The sequence below is a fragment of the Homo sapiens genome, chromosome 3, assembly GCF_000001405.40.
Source record: "Homo sapiens chromosome 3, GRCh38.p14 Primary Assembly".
Classification (NCBI taxonomy): Eukaryota; Metazoa; Chordata; class Mammalia; order Primates; family Hominidae; genus Homo; species Homo sapiens.
In genome coordinates, this window is record NC_000003.12 from 55318265 (window position 1) to 55339372 (window position 21108).

The window sequence follows — 21108 nt, forward strand, 5'->3', positions numbered from 1 at the left end:
CTTGCTTTTCTCCAAATGGGTGTGATCTCTCCTCTACTTCTGTCATTTCCTTTCCTTATACCCTACCTTTTATTATAGGTGGTCGGAGACCCTATTTCCCACCTAGGAGGTGAGCTCATGGAACCTTAGTGACCTCCTTTTCAAGAGTATTAGAAGGCTGCCTTTTACAAAGTTAGAGGTCAATGGATGTTTCACAGAAAATAAAATATCAAGCAAATGCATCACGTAAAACACATATTCACTCATTTATGTGGGCCATACAGAGCCATGAAAACACATAATGAATTAAGTCTGAAAACATTAGCTCTATTAGTATGAAATGCATTACCTTCTGAGGGTTTAATGTGACCAAAGCATTCTTGTCCATGTCCCAGTCTCTCCTTGCAATTTCCTAATTCCAACCACCACCACTGGAAAGATGGAATAGAAAATACCAAATGACAAAAGAATTATGAAACTTACGACTTGGACTCTTATCCTGGTAGAGATGGGTGTTGAGTCAAGAAGGCATCTACCTATGAGCTTTCCTCTTTACAGAAAAGACTGTTCAAATGTCTGTTTCATTCTCTCTGTCGCTCTCTCTCTCTCCCTGCTTGCTTGTTCACCCTCCATTTTCTCCCTAATTTATAAATTCCCTAATTACCCTAACACCATACCAGGAAGTAACCTCTTCCCATACACCACTGTGGATCTCTTGGAAGGAGTGTAATTCTTGTATCACCTCCCTCTGTGGAAGTCAAAGGGCCAGAGCCAGACCCACCTTTCACAGATTCAGCATAGGCAGGGAAGGGCTGTCTCTTGGGACCTTGAACCTTATCTCAGAGTTCAAGGGGAAGAGGTCAGGCTCCAGAGTAGTGGCAACACTGTTCCAGCTGGCCTGGCTGTGGGCTTTTCTTCCCTTCCTGCTCCTGTCTTCCTGGCCCTCACACTAGTCTTGATGTCTGCCCACTTTCCCAGCTTCCCATTCTTCCCTCTGTGAGCTCCCCAGTAGCCTTCTAATAAAATTTCCCACGCTTCAGCTAACTCAAATCAGTTTCTGTTGCTAGCAGCCAATACTTCCAACCAAGAGGAGCTTCAGAAGAATTTTTTACATGCTTAGTTCCAAGCACACTGAGATGGGTTCAACCACTGCAGGCAAGAGCATTAAGCTGGTAACTAGTCTTGTTCATATTGAAAAACCAACTTCTGTAGGTGAGTGGTTGTTACTTCTGAGGAAACACCCCTTCCTGCCTGTCTGAATCCAGTGGCCTCTCCATGTCACCTGCCTATCTTGTGGGGTGTCTCCTTGCATTTAAAAGCTGACTCGAATTAAAACATTCCAACACACACATTCAACGGCTACTTCTGTTGTATCAAAGAAGGTTTTTGCATCATGTTGTCGTGGACCAATACATTCATTAAAGATAATTAGTTTGTTTCCTTTACTCCCTCACTCAATCCCCTTGGGAAAGCTCCATTACTATTACTTAACTCTCTTGGGGGACACTGAAAATGACTCCATTCCATTGGCTCTAACTAGTTAAAGTAGCCAAATCAAAGCTTCAGAGTTCCAACCCAAATATTTCTTTTTTTGGTTTGTATGCACATAATTACATATGATTTACAGTGACGCACAAAATTTCCGGAAATAAAAACAGGAATCATTGTTCAAAATTTTATTCAATCCAGAAAAAATATACCCAGCAACAGAAGACAGATGTCACGAACATGGAACATGTGAGCTTGGAAAAAGTTTGCCAAGTACATCTTTACTATCCCCTGAATTCCCATACAGGGCAGGAAAGCAAACAAGATCTTGGTGGTGCTCAGGCAGGGAAATGAAGTTCTGAGAGGGTTCGAAAACTTTTGTATTGCTCTAATAACTCCCCCTCCTGTGATCCAGTGATTAGAAATATTCCCCAGAGTAGGAAGCTCTCTAACGAAGAGAAAAACTGGAAGTAGGGGGTCCAGGTGGAGACCAAGCTATGTGGGGTCTTAGAGAAATATTCAAGGTAAGCAATGCAGTGGAAACCATAGGGCTACTATTTGGTGGAACTAGAATTGCCAAATGTCCTGAGAAGACCAAGGGATTAGTAGCTTAAGACTCGGCCTCTAGGGCAGAGGGGAAGGTAGGAGTACCATGTTGACTCCTGAGGGAAGGTCAGACAACCAAATATTGAACTGCTTATTGGAACTGAACTTGTAAACTCCTGAGGTTTCCCCACCCTGAGTAGTAAAAGCTGTGCACAATGATCAGCTCGAAACAACAGGTCATCATTGAAAGGAACCTGTGCCAAAACACCGATTGGAATTTTGTGAGGATTTATGGATAAAATCGGATTCATTCAGTTGACCCTGGGCTATATTCTTCCCTATCATCACCCTCTCAAAAAATGGGGAGATGCCCCCTACAACCACCGAGGGACAGATTGGCTTCTGTGGGTCCAGTGGAACCCTAGTCTAGAAGGAGCTCTTCATGCCCATCTGCCAATCTAAGCAGAAGGATGAGAGGCCTCTGTCTTTGTTGTGGGGCCTATAAAATGCCCTGTGCTTGGGCCCTTGCCTACCTCCTCAGCCCATGTCACACTCTCTTCCTCTCACACCTCTCATGTACCTGTCACTCGACCTTCAGCCACTTCCCAGGACTTATTCTAGTTGCCACCTTAGGATCTTTGCCTCTGCCATTCCTCTTTCTGGAATGTTCTTTCCCATGACCAATTCTTTTCTTAGCTCTCCACTTAAATGTCAACCTCCACAGAGAATACTTCCCTAGAGGCTCTCTTGAGTGGTTCCCACCTTGTTCACTTCTAGAGCAGGGGTTGGCAAATTATGGCCCAAGGGTCAAATCCAGTGAGCCATCTGCTTTTGTAAATAAAGTTTTATTGGAACACAGCTGTGCCCCTTCATTTACAAGTAGTCTGTGGCTGCTTTCACACTACAGTGGCAGAGTTGAGTGGTTGTGACAGAGACCAGATGGCCTGCAAAGCCAAAAATATTTACTATCTGGCCCTTTACTGAAAATATTGACTGACCCCTGTTCCACGGATTTCAGACATTCCATAATTATTGTTCTTTACTCTCTTATTTCCATTCAAGCCTGTATGTCCAGGAATGCAGATATCTTGTCTGTGTTATTCATGTTCTTATCCCCGGCATCCAGCACATTGCCTGGCACAAAGGCAACATACAACATAGACACTAAGCAGGGATTACCATTTCCATTTTCTAGATGGAAACACTAAGGGTGAAAGGAAGGAAATGTATCTGTGCTGGAGTGAACTCATTGTGGGGGGTGGGCTAGTATTTCTTTTGCTTTCTTTTTTTTAAAATTTTATTTAATTTTAATTTTAATTTTTATATTATACTTTAAGTTCCAGGGTACATGCGCACAACGTGCAGGTTTGTTACATATTGGCTTTTATCCAGATTGATTAACTTGACTCTTCTTTGAATGGTCTCTTTCTTCCCTTCTGTAGGTCAAGTCAAGGCCAGTGACTAGACTCTATTAAGGTACAGAATCCAGCCTTGAGACTCTCTTGTCCAAGTTTTGACTGAGACATGGATACATCATCCATGTTTTGGGTATTCACCTGTCTTTTATCAACCTGAACACTAAAATCTTGGGTACAGTAGAATGGATTTTTCTCCATTCTCCTGGGATCCACTTAAATCCCTTTAGCTTGAGTGACACTCCTGGCAAGTTTTCATGAGTAGGACAGAGGAATAATGTTCCTGAATCATGTGCTTAATTACAGTGTGTATATACGTGTGTATATATATATTTTCATTTATCCTGCCATAAGCCTTTTTTATTAATATATTTAGCCAGCATGAGGATTATTATTAGATACTCTTGTTTCTAAAACTTCATCCTAAGGATAAGGCAAGCAGGAATTTCCTTCTAAAGCAACTTACTGTTGCTACTTTTAATAATCGAAGGTTTTAGTACAGTGATTTCTCCTTAATCCTCTTGATAATCCCAGCAAAATATGGGTATCAGAAAGTGGAAGGCAACTCTCCTGCATTTTGCTGGGTATCTAAGACATGGTGCTAACGGGGTCTAGCTAAACTCAAGACCATTTCAAAACAAGAGACTAAGATGCGGGTAAACCAAGAAGCCCACACAAATCCTTCTGTGGAACCAGGAAATGAGCATCTAGTTGAAAAATGTGCCTGTTTTTCTGCCTCCATACCTTTTTCTACCATCTCAATGTTGCATTAAGATTTAGCCCTAACTAACTGAAGCATGGGATGGAGCCACAAAACACAGGCAGCAAAAGATCTTTACTGGAGTGCACCAAGAAAGCAAATCCCTTTTGTGCTGAGGATGGCACCTTTGCTGTCACCAACCCCTTCCAGCCTGAGAGAGACAAGGAGCAGGAGATAATTCCAAAAGCAAGTAAAGACCCCTGTTGGATGTAAAAAGTCAGCAGCACCAGGCACTCCTGAGGCTCCCACCCCAGGAAAGCTGGGAGAGACAGTGCGCATTTTTTCGATGGGGTACTCCTTTCACAGGCAGTCAGAGCGTAACTGCCTGTTGCCAGAAACCATTCATCAGACTCCACAGAAAAGGCTGTCAGCTCGGCCTACAGGCCCCACGCCAGCCTGTCAGGATCCAGGCTAGCAGCCAGGGTGTCAGGGGCTGCGGCTGGTAGCCAACCAGGACTTTGATGTCTAAGGGTTGGCTGGCTGGGATGTGAGGGTGGCCAATGGGCTCTGAAACCATATACCCTGCTCAGAGGTCATGGGTTCTGAAAGCAAGCTGGTCGTTAGAGTATCTCTAATAAAGATGGAGGTAGGCATTTCATATTGTTAAAAAAAATTGTTCAAATTATTTCAGTATTTGTTTTGATTTAAATTTCCATTACACATGCTTTTTATTATGCAACTCAATTAGTACATAAAAGATTTTTCTGTTTAAAATGTTTAAATGAACATAATTGTACAATTTGGAAAGATTACAATGCTTTTATTTAATTAACACTGCAATAAATACATTGCTCTGTAATGAACCCCATACTTTTAGGCCATTAGCCATTCAATAAATTTGCAATATGGAAGGTCCTTTATGGAGAAGAAGATAAATAAAGCTATTTAAACGAATGTACGACAGCTATGATGCTAAGCAGCAAATTATAGCTTTTTGCTTCTCATCTACTAGAGTTGTACCTTGATTACAAACACATGCGAGTGTAATAAACAGCATACATTTCAATTACTATTTTGAACATGAGGTACACTGGACGCTAAAGAAAAATTCTGCAGCATTGGTGCAGCTCCACTCCATGGCATCTTCCCAATGAGAAACTCTTTCAGAATTTTTCCAAAAGGTTCATCTGTTGTCTGCCTTATCAAGCCAGGTCTGGACCTGCCAGACAAAAATAATGTCCCTCACGCAGCCTCTCAGAACCGGCTGGTTCCATGGGTGATCACAGAATTAAAGCCACTCCCCTCGTGTGACACTCTCTGACAAAGGACTATCTATGACAGGTCTAGCAGCAGCAGAGGTTATGTCCAGGCCCTGCTCTCTGTCGTCTCGTCACCGTCACACACCAGTTACAAGCAAAATGATGAACCCCTCCAGTCCCATGGCCCTCAGTCCTCATCCAAACACCTTCTCCTTCCATTACTGAGCCCTGCAAGGATGGCACACACAGCTGGTGCCCAAGAGCCCAGATTTCAGATGAAGCTTAGAGAGATTAAGTGTTGGCATAGGGTCCCAGAGCCGAGGTGAGGCTATAATTTTGTCTTCTACTTAATGCACCTTATTAATATTGGTAGCTGTAATACAATAATATCAGTGACTAAAATGTATTGATATCAGAAACAAGGACTGATATTGAATGATTATTATTTCCCAGGGGTTATACTGCATTTTATAGATGAGGAAACTAAAGCTTAGATATGTGAGTAATCTGGCCCAACATCACAGGAAGTAAATGGTGGAGTCAAGCCCAAGCTATGTAGCTGCTCCCAGGATTCTATCTTCAAGTGGTAACTGGGAAGATCCCAAAGTCCTTCCTTTGGCTTACTCAGTGTTCTTTCCTTTGCTCTCCTTCATAGTCTATTCATTTTCTTTTTGGAGACAAAGAGTCTTGCTCTATCGCCCAGGCTGAAGTGCAGTGGCGCGATCTCGGCTCACTACTGCAACCTCCGCCTCCCGGGTTCAAGTGATTCTCCTGCCTCGGCGTCCCCAGTAGCTGGGATTACAGGTATGTGCCACCATGCCCACCTAACTGGGGCCTGCCTCAGATAAATTGTAAAAGAATCACAAATGGGATCTCCTTTTTAACCCTTTTCTCCCTATACATCAGGAAAGATGGCAGCCCACAACCATTCAATAGAAGCCTCCCTTGGTATTCAACCAGCCATATTTGGCTTGCATGGCAAAAAGCTTTCAGGGACGGGAAACAAAGAACATAGTGGGTGTGGAGTCAGGCCTGGTTTTAAGTCCCACCTTTGGTATCTACTAGCTGCGTGGCTTTGACCAGGCTGCTTATCCTTTCTGTGACTAATTTTTCTTAACTATAAAATGTAAATTATGATAATTCCTATCTTCATATGGTTATTCTGACATATGTATCAGATAACCAAATTTATCTAAGTTAGCTTAGTATGTAGTATATGTAGTAAATGCATAGTACCTAGCATATAAAAAATGCTTAGTAAGACTTTGGGTTCCTCCTTACAAGTTTAGAGGAAATCTAAATAACTCAACTGATCATTCAGCCAATATTTATTGAGCATCTATTGTTTTCTGGAGAGTGTTCCCAATATGTGGGATAGATGAAGTTTCTATTCCTGCTTCTGCACTACTTTATACTGTGTTTATGGGGTGGGGGTGCTCATAAAATAAATAAGTAGACAAAAACTGTAATATTTCAAGTGACAAAAATAAGGCAAGATGAAAAAGCTGCATGATAAAGATGACATGAGGGCTATGCAGAAGGTGATATTTGAATCCGGTCTGAATTCAGACAGTGGCGCACATGCCAGGGTGCCTGACACACAGCAGGAAGTCAACAATCACGCAGTTGGAGACTGAAATATGGACTGCCGAGCTCACTAACCCCAGTCATGCAGTGTGTGGCTAGATGTTCATTTCAGTGTACAAAAATTTACAATGACCTGCTGTGTGCCAGGCACTAGGGGAGACAGTGAAGTTGCCTTTAAGTTCGAGCCAGCTTGTGGACCTTCTGCATCATGGCGCTGTTGTTAAAGGGTGGCACGGTGTCCTTTTCTGGACTCCAGAACATTCCAGTACCCAGATCTCTCTTCTAAGAAGGTAAGCATGGAGTATACAAGTAAAAAGAAAGCAGGATTAGAGCCAGGTGATGGGTGTAGCAAAGGACCACTTGTCAGAGGTGAAATGCAAAATACCTGAAATGGAGGAGACATTTGACAGATTGTACTTATTTTTATTTTTTCCTTCAAAAATAAAGGCTCAGTTCCTACATGGCACCAAGTTCTAGCTAAGAACCAAGATGAAAATGATACCCTCCTTGTCCTTGAGTTCAGTCTCTTATACTCATAACCATTACCATTATATGTCTCTTCATATTTTTCCTAAAACTGATTTCCTATTTTTACTTCAATGTTATCATTATTTCCTTGTATGTGTTTATGTCATAAGCCAGAAATAATTTAAAGACTCATCCAGGATGTAACCGGACAGATGGATGGATGGATGGATAGACAGAGGGATGGACGGTCATCCAAGGCAAATCTAAGACTGCTCAGAAACCTAAGCCTTCGATTAAAACAAGAGTAGAATAGCTCAGCATTTCGATGGCTGGATGAAGCTTCTCTTCTTTTATGAAACTGATTTGCAATTGAGACTCAATTTCTTCATAAGCAGTGAAGAACTCTCATGGGTTGGGGGTAGTGTTGCCTGTAGGTTCGTATTTGGAAGCTTTCTTTTCCCCAGTAACAATCATACACTTCACACATGTCTAATGTTTTTAAAGGGCATTCATATCTCTTAGATCATGTAAATGGCAGCCCTATGTGACAGATAGGATAATTGTTTTAGTGTTTATTATAGAGTTGAGGAAACAAGTGGAAAGGCTTGCTAGAGTCTAGTAACAATCTTGGACTGGAGAAACCAGAAGATTAGAACCAAAATATCATGACAAGCAATTCAGAGCTTCTTTTCAAGGTATTAGAGGGTTGCCTTTTACATAGTCAGCGGTCAATAGATGTTTCACAGAAAAGAAAAGAACAAGTGAATGAATCACATGAAATCACATACTCATTCATTTGTTTGTGTGGACCATAGAGAGCCATTAAAAAACATACTTAATTAAGTCTGAAAGCACTTGTTACACGAGCATGAAATGCATTACCTTCTGGCAGTTTTTTGTGACCAAATCATTCTTGTCTGTGTCCCTAATCTCTCCTTCCAATTTCCTAATCCCAACCACTACCACTGGAAGGGTGGAATAGAAGACACTAAATGATACAGGAATTATGAAACTTACCACTTGGAATCTATTCTGGTAGAGATGGGAGGGGTTAAGAAAGAATCTACCTATGAGCTTTTTTCTTTACAGAAGACTGTACTAAAGCTCTCTCCTCTCTCTCTCCACATTTCTTCTTTCTCTTAATTGCTTTCTCTCTTTACTATTTTTCTTTCCATCTCATTCTCTTACTTCACTTCCTTTTCATCATTTTTTCTTTAACTTCTTTTTTGTTCTTTTGTCACTCTAGCTTTACCATGAGTCTATCACATTCTACTGCAAACAGATCTTCCGGGGTCTTATACCTGCCCTCAGCATTGTATTTCCTCATTTGCAGCATCTTAGCATGAAGCACACACATAAACCGCCCCACCCCCACCCCGCCCCCAGTCCCAGTGTCTGCCTGTAGTGGAAATCTATCATTTCCATTCATCCCTTACCCTCTTTTTGGAAAGAGCATGCCAATGCTCCTTGGAAGAACCATCTCTCCCCTGGTTTCCATGTATCCCTTCCCTTCTCCAGCTCCAGGGATCTGCACACATCTGGCAAGTGAGAGCACTCCATCCCTCAAGCTCAGTGACTGGTTCACAGATGGCCACATGAGTCAACCCAGGCCAATGAGATCAATCCCAGGATTTTTTTCTGCTGAGTTGTGAAGCTAGTGTGATGAGTCTAGAATTCATCTTTGCCACCAGTTGGAGATAGACTGCTTGAAAAAGAAACCAAACAGTGGTAAGCAGAGCTGAGGGATTATAACAGATCACTAACCATGTTATTTGAGCACCTGCATCCAGCCACGGCTGAAGCTGGACTATTTAGTCTTCTGAATTTCACAAGCCAGTAAATGACTTTCCAAAGTTAAGCCAGTTTGAAGTGTTATAATAGATTAATCTGGTACTACTCCTTAGATGCATGCCTTTGCCTTGTGAATTTACAGTTTCTCTAATAAAGAGTCAGAATCTATTTCCCCTCCCCTTGAATCTGGGCTGGCCTTGTGACTTTCCTTAGCGATTAGGATGTTAGCCAGCAAAAATAGAGGTTTGAAATGTGTTTATGTGATAGAACTTGTTCATTCACACACTTCTGTTATTGCCATGGGAATATGCCAGAGCCAGCCTGCTAGAGGATGAGAGGCACAGGGCCCAATTGCCAATGTGACCCCAGCCAATAACCAGCTGACCCCAAGACATGTGAATGAGCTCAATCAAGAACAGAAGGATCACCCAATCAAGCCCAGTATAAATTTCTTTAAAAAAATAGAGACAGAGTCTTGCCGTGTTACCCAGGCTGGTCTCAAGCTCCTGGGCTCAAGCAATCCTTCCATCTTAGCCTCCCAAAGTGTTGGGATTGCAGGTGTGAACCCCCAAAGCTGGTCAAGCAGTATAAATCTCTGACCCACAGACTCATGAGCTAAATAAATGCTTATTGTTTTAAGTCACTGAATTTTAGAGTGGTTTGTTAAACAGACAATGGTGTCAATAAATAGCTGAGAGTGTTCTTTTCCCATTATTTGCAGCCAAGGGAGTCTAAATATATTAGTGCCCATATGGGATCCCACACAGCTGCTGGTATTTCTCTCATTATCACATTTAATGTGCTCTTTTGTAATTGATATTTACCTATCTGTACATCCTTCCAAACCAGCACTGTCCAACAGAACTCTTACAAAGATAGAGACACTCTATTCTGGCATTGTCCACAATGACAGCCACTAGCTACGTGTGGCTACTGAGTACTTGAAGTGGGCCTGGTATGATTAAGAAATGGAGTTTTGAATTTCATTTAATTTGGATTAGTTTAAGTTTAAATAGCCACCTGCAGTTAGTGCCTAGCATATTGAACAGCACAGCCCTAATATCTAAACTCTTTAAAAGCAGGAGTTGTATCCATCTTGTTCATTATCACATGTCCAGGGGAAGAGATGGGGTTAATAATTTTTTATGATAAGGAAATATATTCTTCTAACTTCCTTAGGAATTTCTCACTCCCTGGTAAGTAGACCCATCAAACCTAATGAGGTAAATAACCTTAGATGTCACCAATTTTCATAAGCACCATAAACCACTCAGCAACATTTTGTCTGGGGGACAATACTATCCTGGTCACAACACCCCAAACTCCAAAGATTTAGTACTGTTATTGGCTAGTGTATTAGTCTGTTTTCACACTGCTGATAAAGACACACCCAAGACTGGGCAATTTACAAAAGAAGAGGTTTAATTGGACTTAAAGTTCCACATGGCTGGGGAAGCCTCACTATCATGGTGGAGGTCAAGGAGGAACAAGTCGCATGTTACATGGATGGCAGCAGGCAAAGGGTGCTTGTGCAGGGCAATTCCCATTTTTAAAATCATCAGATCTCTTGAGACCCATTCACTATCACAAAAACAGCACAGGAAAGACCCACCCCCATAATTCAATCATCTCCCACTTGGTCCCTCCCACAACACATGGGAATTATGGGAGCTACAAGATGAGATTTGGGTGGCGACACAGAGCCAAACCATATCAGCTAGTAAGCAAAAAGGAACTTTCTGGATAAATCCTAAGCAAACATGAAAGTACAGTTGTTCCTACCACATGTGTTTCTTTTCAATGACAAACAGACCCTAAGATGTGTCCTGCTTCTGGTTAGAGGATAACCTCCAGGAGGCCCAAAGGAGAGGGAAGCAGCAGGATTAATTCTTAAGTAGCTCAAACACCACAGGAATTAGAACTCTCAGAGAAGCACCTGCCTTAATCCCTTCCAGTGTTGGGAATATTGGAGCAGATGCCTCTACAAGTGCTCAAGGGTGTGGTACGAAGTGGCTGGGTGGAAGGAAAGATGAGAGTTAAGTTTCTAAGATAGAGTGTTCAACCTCACAGGTGACCAAAGGACCTCACAACCAGCCCAATTCCTGATTTGTGCCAGGCAAAAGCAAGAGGACTCTGAATTGCTTTCACATATCTAGAACTCTTTTTGTTCTTCCTAAGATGTTATTGGTTTTTTAGAAAGACCTTTCCATTTCTGTGATACAGAAGTAAGAGTCCAAGGTGTTAGCTGAAAACAGTGCTTACCATGTAAAAGAGGCCCGAAAAATACTTAAATAACTGCTATAAAAATAAGTACTGTTGTTTGCAATACTTCATATTAAACAATGGCCATCTCTCAAGAAGGCAGAAAGGAGGTTGAACTTACTTTTTTGTGATATTGAGTTGCCCTCTTTGTGTCTTCTGCATATATATTAGAGGCGTTATAGAAAAAATACTTTCTAAGCCATATGTTGCAAGTCATAAGTACAGGATGTTTTTCTAGCCAAATCTCATCCAACTCAGAAATGCTTTCAGGGTTCTTCAGGCTCACTTTTCATACCATGGTGTGTCTCATTATTCAAGATCAGCTGGAGCCCAGAAGTGACTCAGTCCACTTGAATCACTGAGATTTGAGGGATTTGAGCTGAGCATAAAAGGGCAAAAAATTAACTGTGGCCAAACAGAAGGTGACAAATTCTCATAAAGGAATTATATACCTTTTAAGTTTTGATTAAAGAGATGGATGCTGAATATACTCCCAGAATAATAACAACATGAATATCACTGATCACAGTACCCATATTAACAATAACTTATTGCTTAATATATGCTCAGCACTTTAATAAGTACTTTACAAGTACTCTCTCACTTGTTCTTCAAAAGAACCTTTGCATTAGGGACCATCAACATATTCAGTTAATGAACGAAGAAACTGGGGCTCAGAGATTTAAAAAAAAAAAAAAATTGTCCAAGGTCACACTCCTAGAAAGTGGGAGAGTCAAGATTCAAAGCCAGGTCCTCTGGCTAGGAGGCCCAGGCTCTCAACCACTGAGTCATAGGATTGCTGCTTGGTAACTGCCTTAAAGCCTTGGAAAGCCAAATACCGCAGCAACGTGAATCCCTAGGAAGCTTAGTCAATGTTTTCTTAACAACCCTAACTGCACCTGAAAACAAGTAAACATTAAAAACTGCGTTTTGGAGGGTTTTTTTTTTTTTTTTTTACACACCAGGAAGTCTAGACACCTGCCTTTGTATATTTTCTGGAGGGGGGAAAAATAGACTCATTGTATGAAATTTATTTCAACCATTTAGGGAGATTTTAGTAAAGATAGGTTACATTTGCTATTCAGCAGTGAGACATAAATGTTTAACACAAGGTCTTCCTCCTCACCCACCCCTCCCCTACGGATGCTTTGAATAATGCAAAGTCTGTTTTAAGCTCTGCTGATTTACTCAAGAAAAGGGTCAGAATATTTTGAAATGTTGGTCATACAATCTGGCATACGGAGCATTAAAACTTAGGGTAAAACTCAACAAGCTACTTCCTGTCTGCTGCTTCTCGAGACTTCATGGGCTCATAACACTTAATAAAAAAAATGAGCTGTAAATAATACCTGATTTAAACTGCATGTCTCATTAAATGAACTAGACATTTGGAAGATCTTTTCATTCTTGCCGGAGAGTATATAAGCCTTTTGTGCATAATATGTTAACTTCCTGCTCTTTGAGGACTATGTGCTAGACACTTCACTCTTGGCTTGATTCCGATGGACTGATTGATAGTCAAACATCTTTGATCCACAAAACTGCAATTTCATATGGTCTACCTAACAAATGCTTTACATGTTTTATCTTCTAATCCTTACAACAACTGGTAAGGTAAGTCCTCTTACTCTTCCAAGTTCATTCATATATCAACTCCAGGAGGACAGAAACTCATGGGCTTTATCACTGCCAAGTCTTAAGTGCTTAAAATGGGACCTAGCATATAGTAGGTGCTCATTAATTATTGGATGAATCACTATATGCATGGATGGATGGATGAATGGGTGGATGAATGAATGGATGGATGGATGAGTGGGTGGATGAACATGTGAATGAATGGATGGATGGGTGGGTGGGTGGGTGGGTGGGTGGATGGATGGATGGATGGATGGATGGATGGACGGATGAGTGGGTGGATGGATGGATGAGTGGGTGGATGAATAGCTGAATGGATGGATGGATGAGTAGGTGGGTGGGTGGCTGGGTGAATGGGCGGTTGGTAGGTAGGTGGGTGAATAGATGGACAGATGGATGAATGGGTGGATAGATGGGAAACTAAAGCCTAGGTAGATCATTCAGCAAGAAATTGGCCAAGCCAGGCTTTGAACCCAGGTCTGCATGTTCCTGTGATTGTCCTGCAAAGCCTTTCATTCACTAAGCATGCAACCGGTTAAAGAGAGAATGCACCAATTGCAACTCTCATTTCTAGTCCCATGACCTTTCTCTAAAAGTCACTCCCTGTGTATGTGGGCAGAGGAAGAACCTGGGACATCCTGTGGCAACACAGCCAACTGTCTGCTCAGGCCTTTCCAGGCCCTAGATATTTGGGTCAAGAGGGACAGCAGAGGGGCAACCGTGCTGCAAAGAGTTTCAAATGCCCTTGATACTGAAAAGATGGGAAGGGCGTGGGAATAGCCAGAGGTTACATGGAAGGACAAACATCACAACTGGAGGAGACTGAGGTGGAGAGGAGGCCTGAGATTGCACGTGCAGACCTGTGGAACTGTTTCCACATTATCCACATCAGGCTGCAATGCTTCATTAAGTGGGGCCCCCAAGGGTTAACCAGGAAGGTGGAGGGGACAGAACAGAGCAGGGGAAAATAAATCTTGAGGAGGAGGAAGAAGGGGAAGAAACTCGGGCTGGAATCACTTTGTTTTATGAATAGTTTATGAGGCGTATCAGGAGTCACCCTAACGGGCAAGGGCTGGAATGTTTTCTAACTTTAAAGTGAAAGCCGCCCACCAGGCTGCGAGAGTGGGAGCGGCAAAATATGAAAAACACGGAGGCCCCTCTCTGCACTGCCCATCTATCTTGTAAACCATGGATCTCCAAGGCGCATATACTAGCAAATGTGTCTCACTTGGGATGCTAAAACCACCTTGGAGTTTTACACAGCCACTGTGCCCAGCTAAATGTTTTCAGGCGACTTCTCTCTTGCCTGGAAAAGTATCATGGGTGGACCCTGCGGCTGAGGAGACATTTGGAGGGGAGGACCACAGAGCCGGGTGTGGCACGGGGTGGTGGGGGGGCAGTGCTTACATCTACACCAACTGCATATACACTGGTCACCATGGAGCAAGGAGGAAGTACAGCCAGGACTAGGTGGTCTTGCTGTGGAGCTAAAGAACACACAAGAAGCCTCAGAAAGAAATCTTTATTTGTCCAAATGAGCTTGATGCCTTTAGCAGTTCTCTCTCCACCCACAGGCAAAGCCACAGGCGCCCCATAAACTGACCCCACTATCCAAGGCCTTGGGGAAACATTTCCTCCATGCCTTCCCCAACCCCTGGACTCCAGGTCTCAGGATGGAGCCCCACACCTCCGTGGTTGACCTGCCTTTGTCTAGGCTGCTCCTATGCCCTTGCCCATCCCTACAACTTATCCCAGCAACATCCCTTGGGTTCTTGAGGCCAATGTCCAAGATTCCCCTTTGCCCCACTGTCCAGGCAGTGTCTGTGCTCACACTCACTTCTGGATTCAAGCCACGGTCTGACCCTGAGCCTCCTGCTTGCTTGGAATGTGAATTCAGACTTTAGTCAGCAGGCTAATGCAAGGGACACCGCTGGTGCACAGGCTGCAGATTAAGGGCGGGGAGACATCCCATTATTGGGTGCACATTCTCAGCCTCCACCCTAACACACTGCCCTCTCCTCTTCCATTCACAAGCCCTGAAAATCTGGCTTTCCAAGACATCCCCCTACCCAAGCTGCTCTAACTCAGTGGAAATTCAAGCCAACGTTTCTTCTTGATAAGGTTTTCTCTTATGCTGAGTTGAAAAGGTTTTTGTCTTTTTTTTCCCCCTTCCAGAAAGGTTGGAGAGTTATTCGGAAGGTCTAGTATGTGCTGGTGTCCTTGCAATCACACCTGCTCTGCCTCAGAACATGCTGTTCTTTATGTTGGGGTAGAGTCTGTATATCTACTTGAGAAGACCCTGCTACCCTCTGGCACTCTCATGGCTCATCCTGGAATACGAACTATTCCTCATAGGAAATGGATAATACAATATCAGTGAAGATATTAAACATAGCACCTGGCCAGGAAATTCATGGTGTCCAATGAATGAAGCTTGTTTCTTTGCTTCATTCATTCATTCATTCATTTGAAATTAATTAGTGCCTGCCATGTATCAAAACATGGTCAAAGTCCTCAGAGTTCACAGTTTAGTGAGGGGAGAGAAGCAATACAGAAACCCATAAATAGATGAACATGATCATTTAACATAGTAGCAAGGCTATGGAGACAATACTGGAATTGAGAGTGAAAAGCAGACTTAGAAGGATGGAAGTGTGGTGGAGATCTATGTATAACCCCCCACAGAGAGCAAAGCAAGGTTAAGCAACCCTACTATCTGGAAGTTTTCTCCAAACCCAACAGATTCCTAAAGAGTTAGTCTGAGCTCTGAGAAAGAAAAAAGTAAGAACCCTTTTTCTAAACAGGGCTGGTCTGACTGTACAAAAGCCATTCTACTACAAAGACTAAACCCAGGTTCTGATGTTGGCATTTCAGTGTGAGGAAAGAAAGATTCCTGGCTGGAAGCAGCAGCAAAGGTCACTAAATGAGAGAGTGCATGGGTGGGAACACCCAGTCAACTGGGCTTGAACACATAGAAGATGGTGGTGAGAGGGAAAATTCCCTTCTGACTAGTTCTAGGCCTGGACAATGGGACCATCCACAGCAGCTGTTGGGCACCTTCCTAAGGTGGAGAATCCAATAGCTCCCCATTGAAGCCAAAAGACACATCGATCCTCGTGGGCAGGTGCTGCAAGTCATAAGCTTAGGAATTTGGGGGCTATGGTCAAGTCTCTCAAGGCATTCCTATTTGCATCCTACTTTAGGTAACTGTGGGTGCCACGTGGTCAAATACTGCAGGGGATGGGGGTTGGAGCAAAGCAGGGCGATGCCTGGGAAGTGTAAAAACGAATCCTTGGCTAGTGTCAAGGGAGTTGGCCTGGCCTCAGGTGAAAGAGGCTGAGAGGTTGTTAAGGTCATACCTCTCTGTGTATTATACAAGTCTGTGCCCCTAATGAAAATTCCATTTCTTCTAAATAGGCTAATTGAAGGACCTCTTCTTTGAAAAGGCCAGTCTGTGTTCTAAAAAGGGCTTAATGAGGACACGGTTATGACAAACCTCTTAAGAGACAGAGCAGAGAGATTTATAAAAACCTACAGAAAAATAGCAGGTAGTCAGGCCACTTTAGGAGGAGGGAGCACTAAGGAACCTACAGTACTGGAAGAAATAAATGGGAATGCTGAGAATAGGAGGGTGGGCTTCTAAATAAGTATACAGGCTGAGAGCAGGTAATCAAATGAACAGTTACAGTATTACAATGGCAGCCTATGGCATTTGTTAGCACTGGGTACCTGGTGCTAGGTAACGTGCTCATGTCAGTCCTTGAAGAGAGGTGTTATGATTTTCATGATTCTTCTAGAAGGAAAAACTGACTTTCAGGCAATTTGAGGAACCCCCCCCCAAGACTTAAGATTTCACAGCTGTTAGACAATGCAGACACATATAGACCCAGAACACCTGGCATTGCACATCCAATAGGGCATTGCCCCATCCAGTGAAATCTGGTGACCACTTATGCCAGAATCACAGAAGGGCCTAATAGATTGGCCTTTCCTAGGCTTTGGTGGACATGCAGAATCAAAATCTGCATGTGGCCCCTGGAGATCCACGTTCCAAAAGCTCCTTGGGTGATATTGAAACACACTCTTGTTTAAGAACCAGGCAGTTAGGGGCAGTGAGTAGATTGGGTTGTTTGGAACAGAGGGTTTCTAAGAATCCAGGGGCTTGAGATCTACAGGAATTTTTTTTTTAATCAGCACTTCCAGAAGAGATGAGGGACAAAGCCCACTCTGTAGAGTGCTGGGAGGACTCCATCTATGCACAATGTTAATGGTTATTGATCTGGATGTGATGGAGTAAACCTGCTGCATCCTGCCTTCCTCAGGTACCTGGTTTAGCACACTGAAGTCAGGAGGGAGACTGGAAAGAACTGTGTACAGATGAATGCAGAAGATCCCAGCTTCTCAGAATGAAGATCGTGAACTCAACAGATTTTAGCTTCAGGGAGCAGAAAGTAGAAATGGAGATGGGGCCAGGGACCCAGGAGTGCCTACTCCAAAGGTTGGCCATGGTCCTGTGATAGTCCCATACAACTTCCAAGGTCTAAAATCAGCGTCTCCATGGTAGAGTTGTCACTGATGAAATAACAGCATTACCTGTCAGGAAGAGAGGCCCAAATATTTTCCATGGTCCTGAGGACTCATTCTGAGAAAGGCAAGCTACTGAAAGGGCTTCTCCAATTCCTGGCATTTTCTTATTCCCAGGCCCTGATGACAGAGGGGTCTTGGCCCTGAATCTGCCCTTGTGAGTCCTGCACAATGTCCTTTGTGCCACTGGCTTCATCAAAGAACTGAGCCTCCACCAAGCGGCTGTAATCTGAAGGCAGAAGGTACAGTGGGGGTGAAAAGGAAGTGAGCTTTCATCTTCCTACGGAGGGATGCCTATACTTTGCTCCCACTGGCCCTTCTGTTGGACTTTGGATGGAATAGTGGGGCATTGTTGGGGACAGTCTGCCACCACCCAGCCCCCATGGGCCAAGGGCTGGGAGGCTTCTGCACATACACTCTTTGGCACTAGTCAACAGGCCCCCAAGCTGCAGCCCTGTGAAGGCCCCTCCATAAGGGTTTGGAGGGCTGATGGTGGCAGGGCAAGTATCCTTTCTGGAGGAGGAGGAAGCAGGACCTGCAGGCCCTCACCCCTGTCCTTGAAACACGGAGGCTCTTTTCCTGGTTTGCCTAGTTGGAAGGGAACATCCCAGTTTGCAGGAGACATTTTGCAGGCTTGGCCACAGACATACTTTTACACCTGGTTGTATAAAATATGCAACATTGCAGAGGAGTTCTAGCCAGAGCACTTCAGTGACAAACTGGCACAGGGACACACACAGTCAGGCACACTCATGCACCCTGCCCTCAAGGGGCGTTCCATGTGACACAGGCCAGTTAGACGCAGGATGTGCAGACCAGACAGACACAGACCCAACGGTGAGACTGAATGTTTATTGGTGGGATGAGGTGTGTGCAGGTCACTCTGCAGGACCCAGTGCTGGTGTGGGCATTTGGTGGAACAGCCTGCTGAAGGAGGGGCAGATTTCCCCAGATCTGGTCCCAGCCCCTTGGTAGGCACACTCTAGCTGCAATACATTAACAGAGGAGAATGCAATGAGTTCTCCAAACTACTCTGCTAAAATGCCTCAGCCCATAACCAGGCTCAAATATTTGTCCACTTGGACTCAGTTAATTCTGCAGTGCAGCAAACTGCCCAACAGATGTTTTTCAGATGCAGCCTCCTCTCATTATATAGGGTGCACTAATCTCCCCTAAGAGGCTGAAACCATCCTTAAAAATAAGTGTGTGTATATGCGTGCATGCATGTGTGTGTGAATGAAGGGGAGAAAGAGGCAGAGAGAGAAACAGAGGCACAAAGACAGAAGGATGGACACTCACCACACTGATCTTCCCAGAAATGGCCCACACTCTAACAAATCCAGCACAGCAAATTGAGGCATTTCCAAGGAAAGAAGCACATGTGGTCACCACAGAAACAAAGCTGCACACAGCAGGGTTAATCTTCGTGCAGCACACCTGCAACTTCTCCACAGCAGGTGGTGTTGTTTGGTTTTGCATACCCATCCCCAAACAGCATTTGAATTAATATAAACGTATCCTAGCTGGTCTTTATGGCAACAGCAGCAATATGGTGGGAGGGACCTGCTCAGATGGAGGTTGGCATAATGCCTCCTTTGTGTCATCCTTCCCAAGGGAACAGGGATGGCAAGGCCATCCAAGAGGGCCCTGGGATGGTCCCCCAGTCCATCGGTGGCCTGCACTTGGGTAAGATAGGCGCAGGGGACAGGGGTGTGGTCAGTGACTCTGTGGCTGTAACACATGCGAGGCAAGTGGGCTTTAGAGTGACAGAAGTGTAAGGATGGCCAAAAGGAGCTTTGCTTCTTGCCAAAAGTGATGCGTTCAAATAAAAGCAGAAAGAACCTGCAGGGGGCAGGGGCGCTGGGCAGAGTTGGTGTGGGAGTAGACCGACTGCAAACCCAGGAGGAAAGCAAATGTTTCCATCAGCAGGGATGAGGAGGAAAACTTGGCATGGAAAAATACAAGCTTAGTGATAACCAGCTTATGAGTTTTTGCCGTGGCTGCAGAAGAGGGAGGTAGCAGCGATAAGGCTACAGACTGTAATGTTTGCTTATGAACGAATGAAGATGGCTAAGCTGCGTGTGCAGCTGAGCTCCTCTCTTCCACTGGACACAGAAGATCCTAGGGCTACACAATGAGTAAGGCAGACATGTAATCTCCCTTCCCTCTTCTGTTTTTGACAAGTGAGAAAGCTTTACAGAAGCACACATTTCAGACAGTGGAAAAAAAAAAAGTATGGTATAGCCTCAGGATCCAGAGTTATGGCTTCTACCACCATATCCATCTGCACCAAATAAACTTAAAAAACACATTCCGTTCAGTTCACAGAAGCAATGGGAACCATAGCTTTCTCTCAATCCAGTGGCCTTACAAAAAAGTTAGCTAGTAAAGTGGTCAGTGGCCTTATTAGTAAAGAGTTCCTTTAGGGCATAGACTCCTTTCACTAGCAATTTTGTATATACACTTGTAAGAATATTAAGGTAAGTGAATATCAGAAAAGGATCAACTGGTCAAAGAAATGGTGTGCTAAGCTTTAGGATCATTTTGATAAGAAGTACAGAGGGATTGGGAATGTGGGGTAGAAGGTGTATTTACTTCAGGGATGTGTGCCCAGGTGGTGGTGGTCAATGAAGGCTTCCCACAGGAAGTGAGATGTAGCTCAGTCCTAAAGGATAAGTGGGTTTACCGAGTAAAACTCAGGGGAAGGAAGTGGGTTCAGTTTTGACATAAAAGGAAGTATTCCAGGTGGAGGGGGAATTGGACAGCCAAAGGCTCCAAGATCTCAGAGAACATGGTATGTTGAAGAAAGAACTGAAGGAAGTTCAACGAAGGGAGGTGGCAGCGACGCTGAGAGGTGAAGGTAGACCAGGTTCTAAAGGGCGCTGTCGGCTATCCTAAGGCATCCGGACCTAGTCCCAAGAGAAGGAAATGACTTTTCTAGCTTCACTGGTAGCGATGGAGATTGAAGGTGTTCCAAGTAGGCTGCATGAATGGCCTTGGAGAGGAGGTTACCAAGCTAGAGGAAGGTGGAATTATCTAAAATCATGATTTCCTCTACCCTTTCACACTGGCTGTCAAAAGATAGAACTTTAGGCCAAAGAAAAACGGACCAATTGCCTGAAGGGTTGTTAAGTGGCTGGCATTTTTTGTCCATTTCATTTTTGGGAGCACTGCAGGAGAGGGAAAGGATTTATGCTGGAGAGGAGGCATGGGTCCCCGGGAATTGCAGGTGGATGCTGTCTTGTGTAATAATGTGGAATACCTGGCAGGGTGGCTGAAAGTGTGTGTGATCAATGGATTGATGAGAGTGGCAGCTTTTGGGCAGACAGGCTGGCTCTTTCTGAGCTCTATTCAATCTCACTTTAGGGGGTGCCAAGAGGCAGCAATGCTGAGG

At 43.8% G+C, this 21108-nt stretch overlaps 1 long non-coding RNA gene across 2 annotated transcripts in view; it reads right to left on the reverse strand.

The window, feature by feature from the left end:
- Positions 1-21108, reverse strand: part of LOC124906243 (uncharacterized) — a 207146-nt gene that overhangs the window by 174457 nt on the left and 11581 nt on the right. The window contains exons 2-4 of one of the 2 annotated variants that reach the window (XR_007095916.1): positions 11617-11874; positions 8879-9147; positions 6667-7359 (exon numbers count right to left, since the gene is read on the reverse strand). The exons of the other annotated variant lie outside the window; for it this stretch is intronic. This is a non-coding gene — a long non-coding RNA (uncharacterized LOC124906243). Of the gene's footprint in view, positions 1-6666; positions 7360-8878; positions 9148-11616; positions 11875-21108 lie in introns of those variants that run through there. 2 annotated transcript variants of the gene reach the window in all.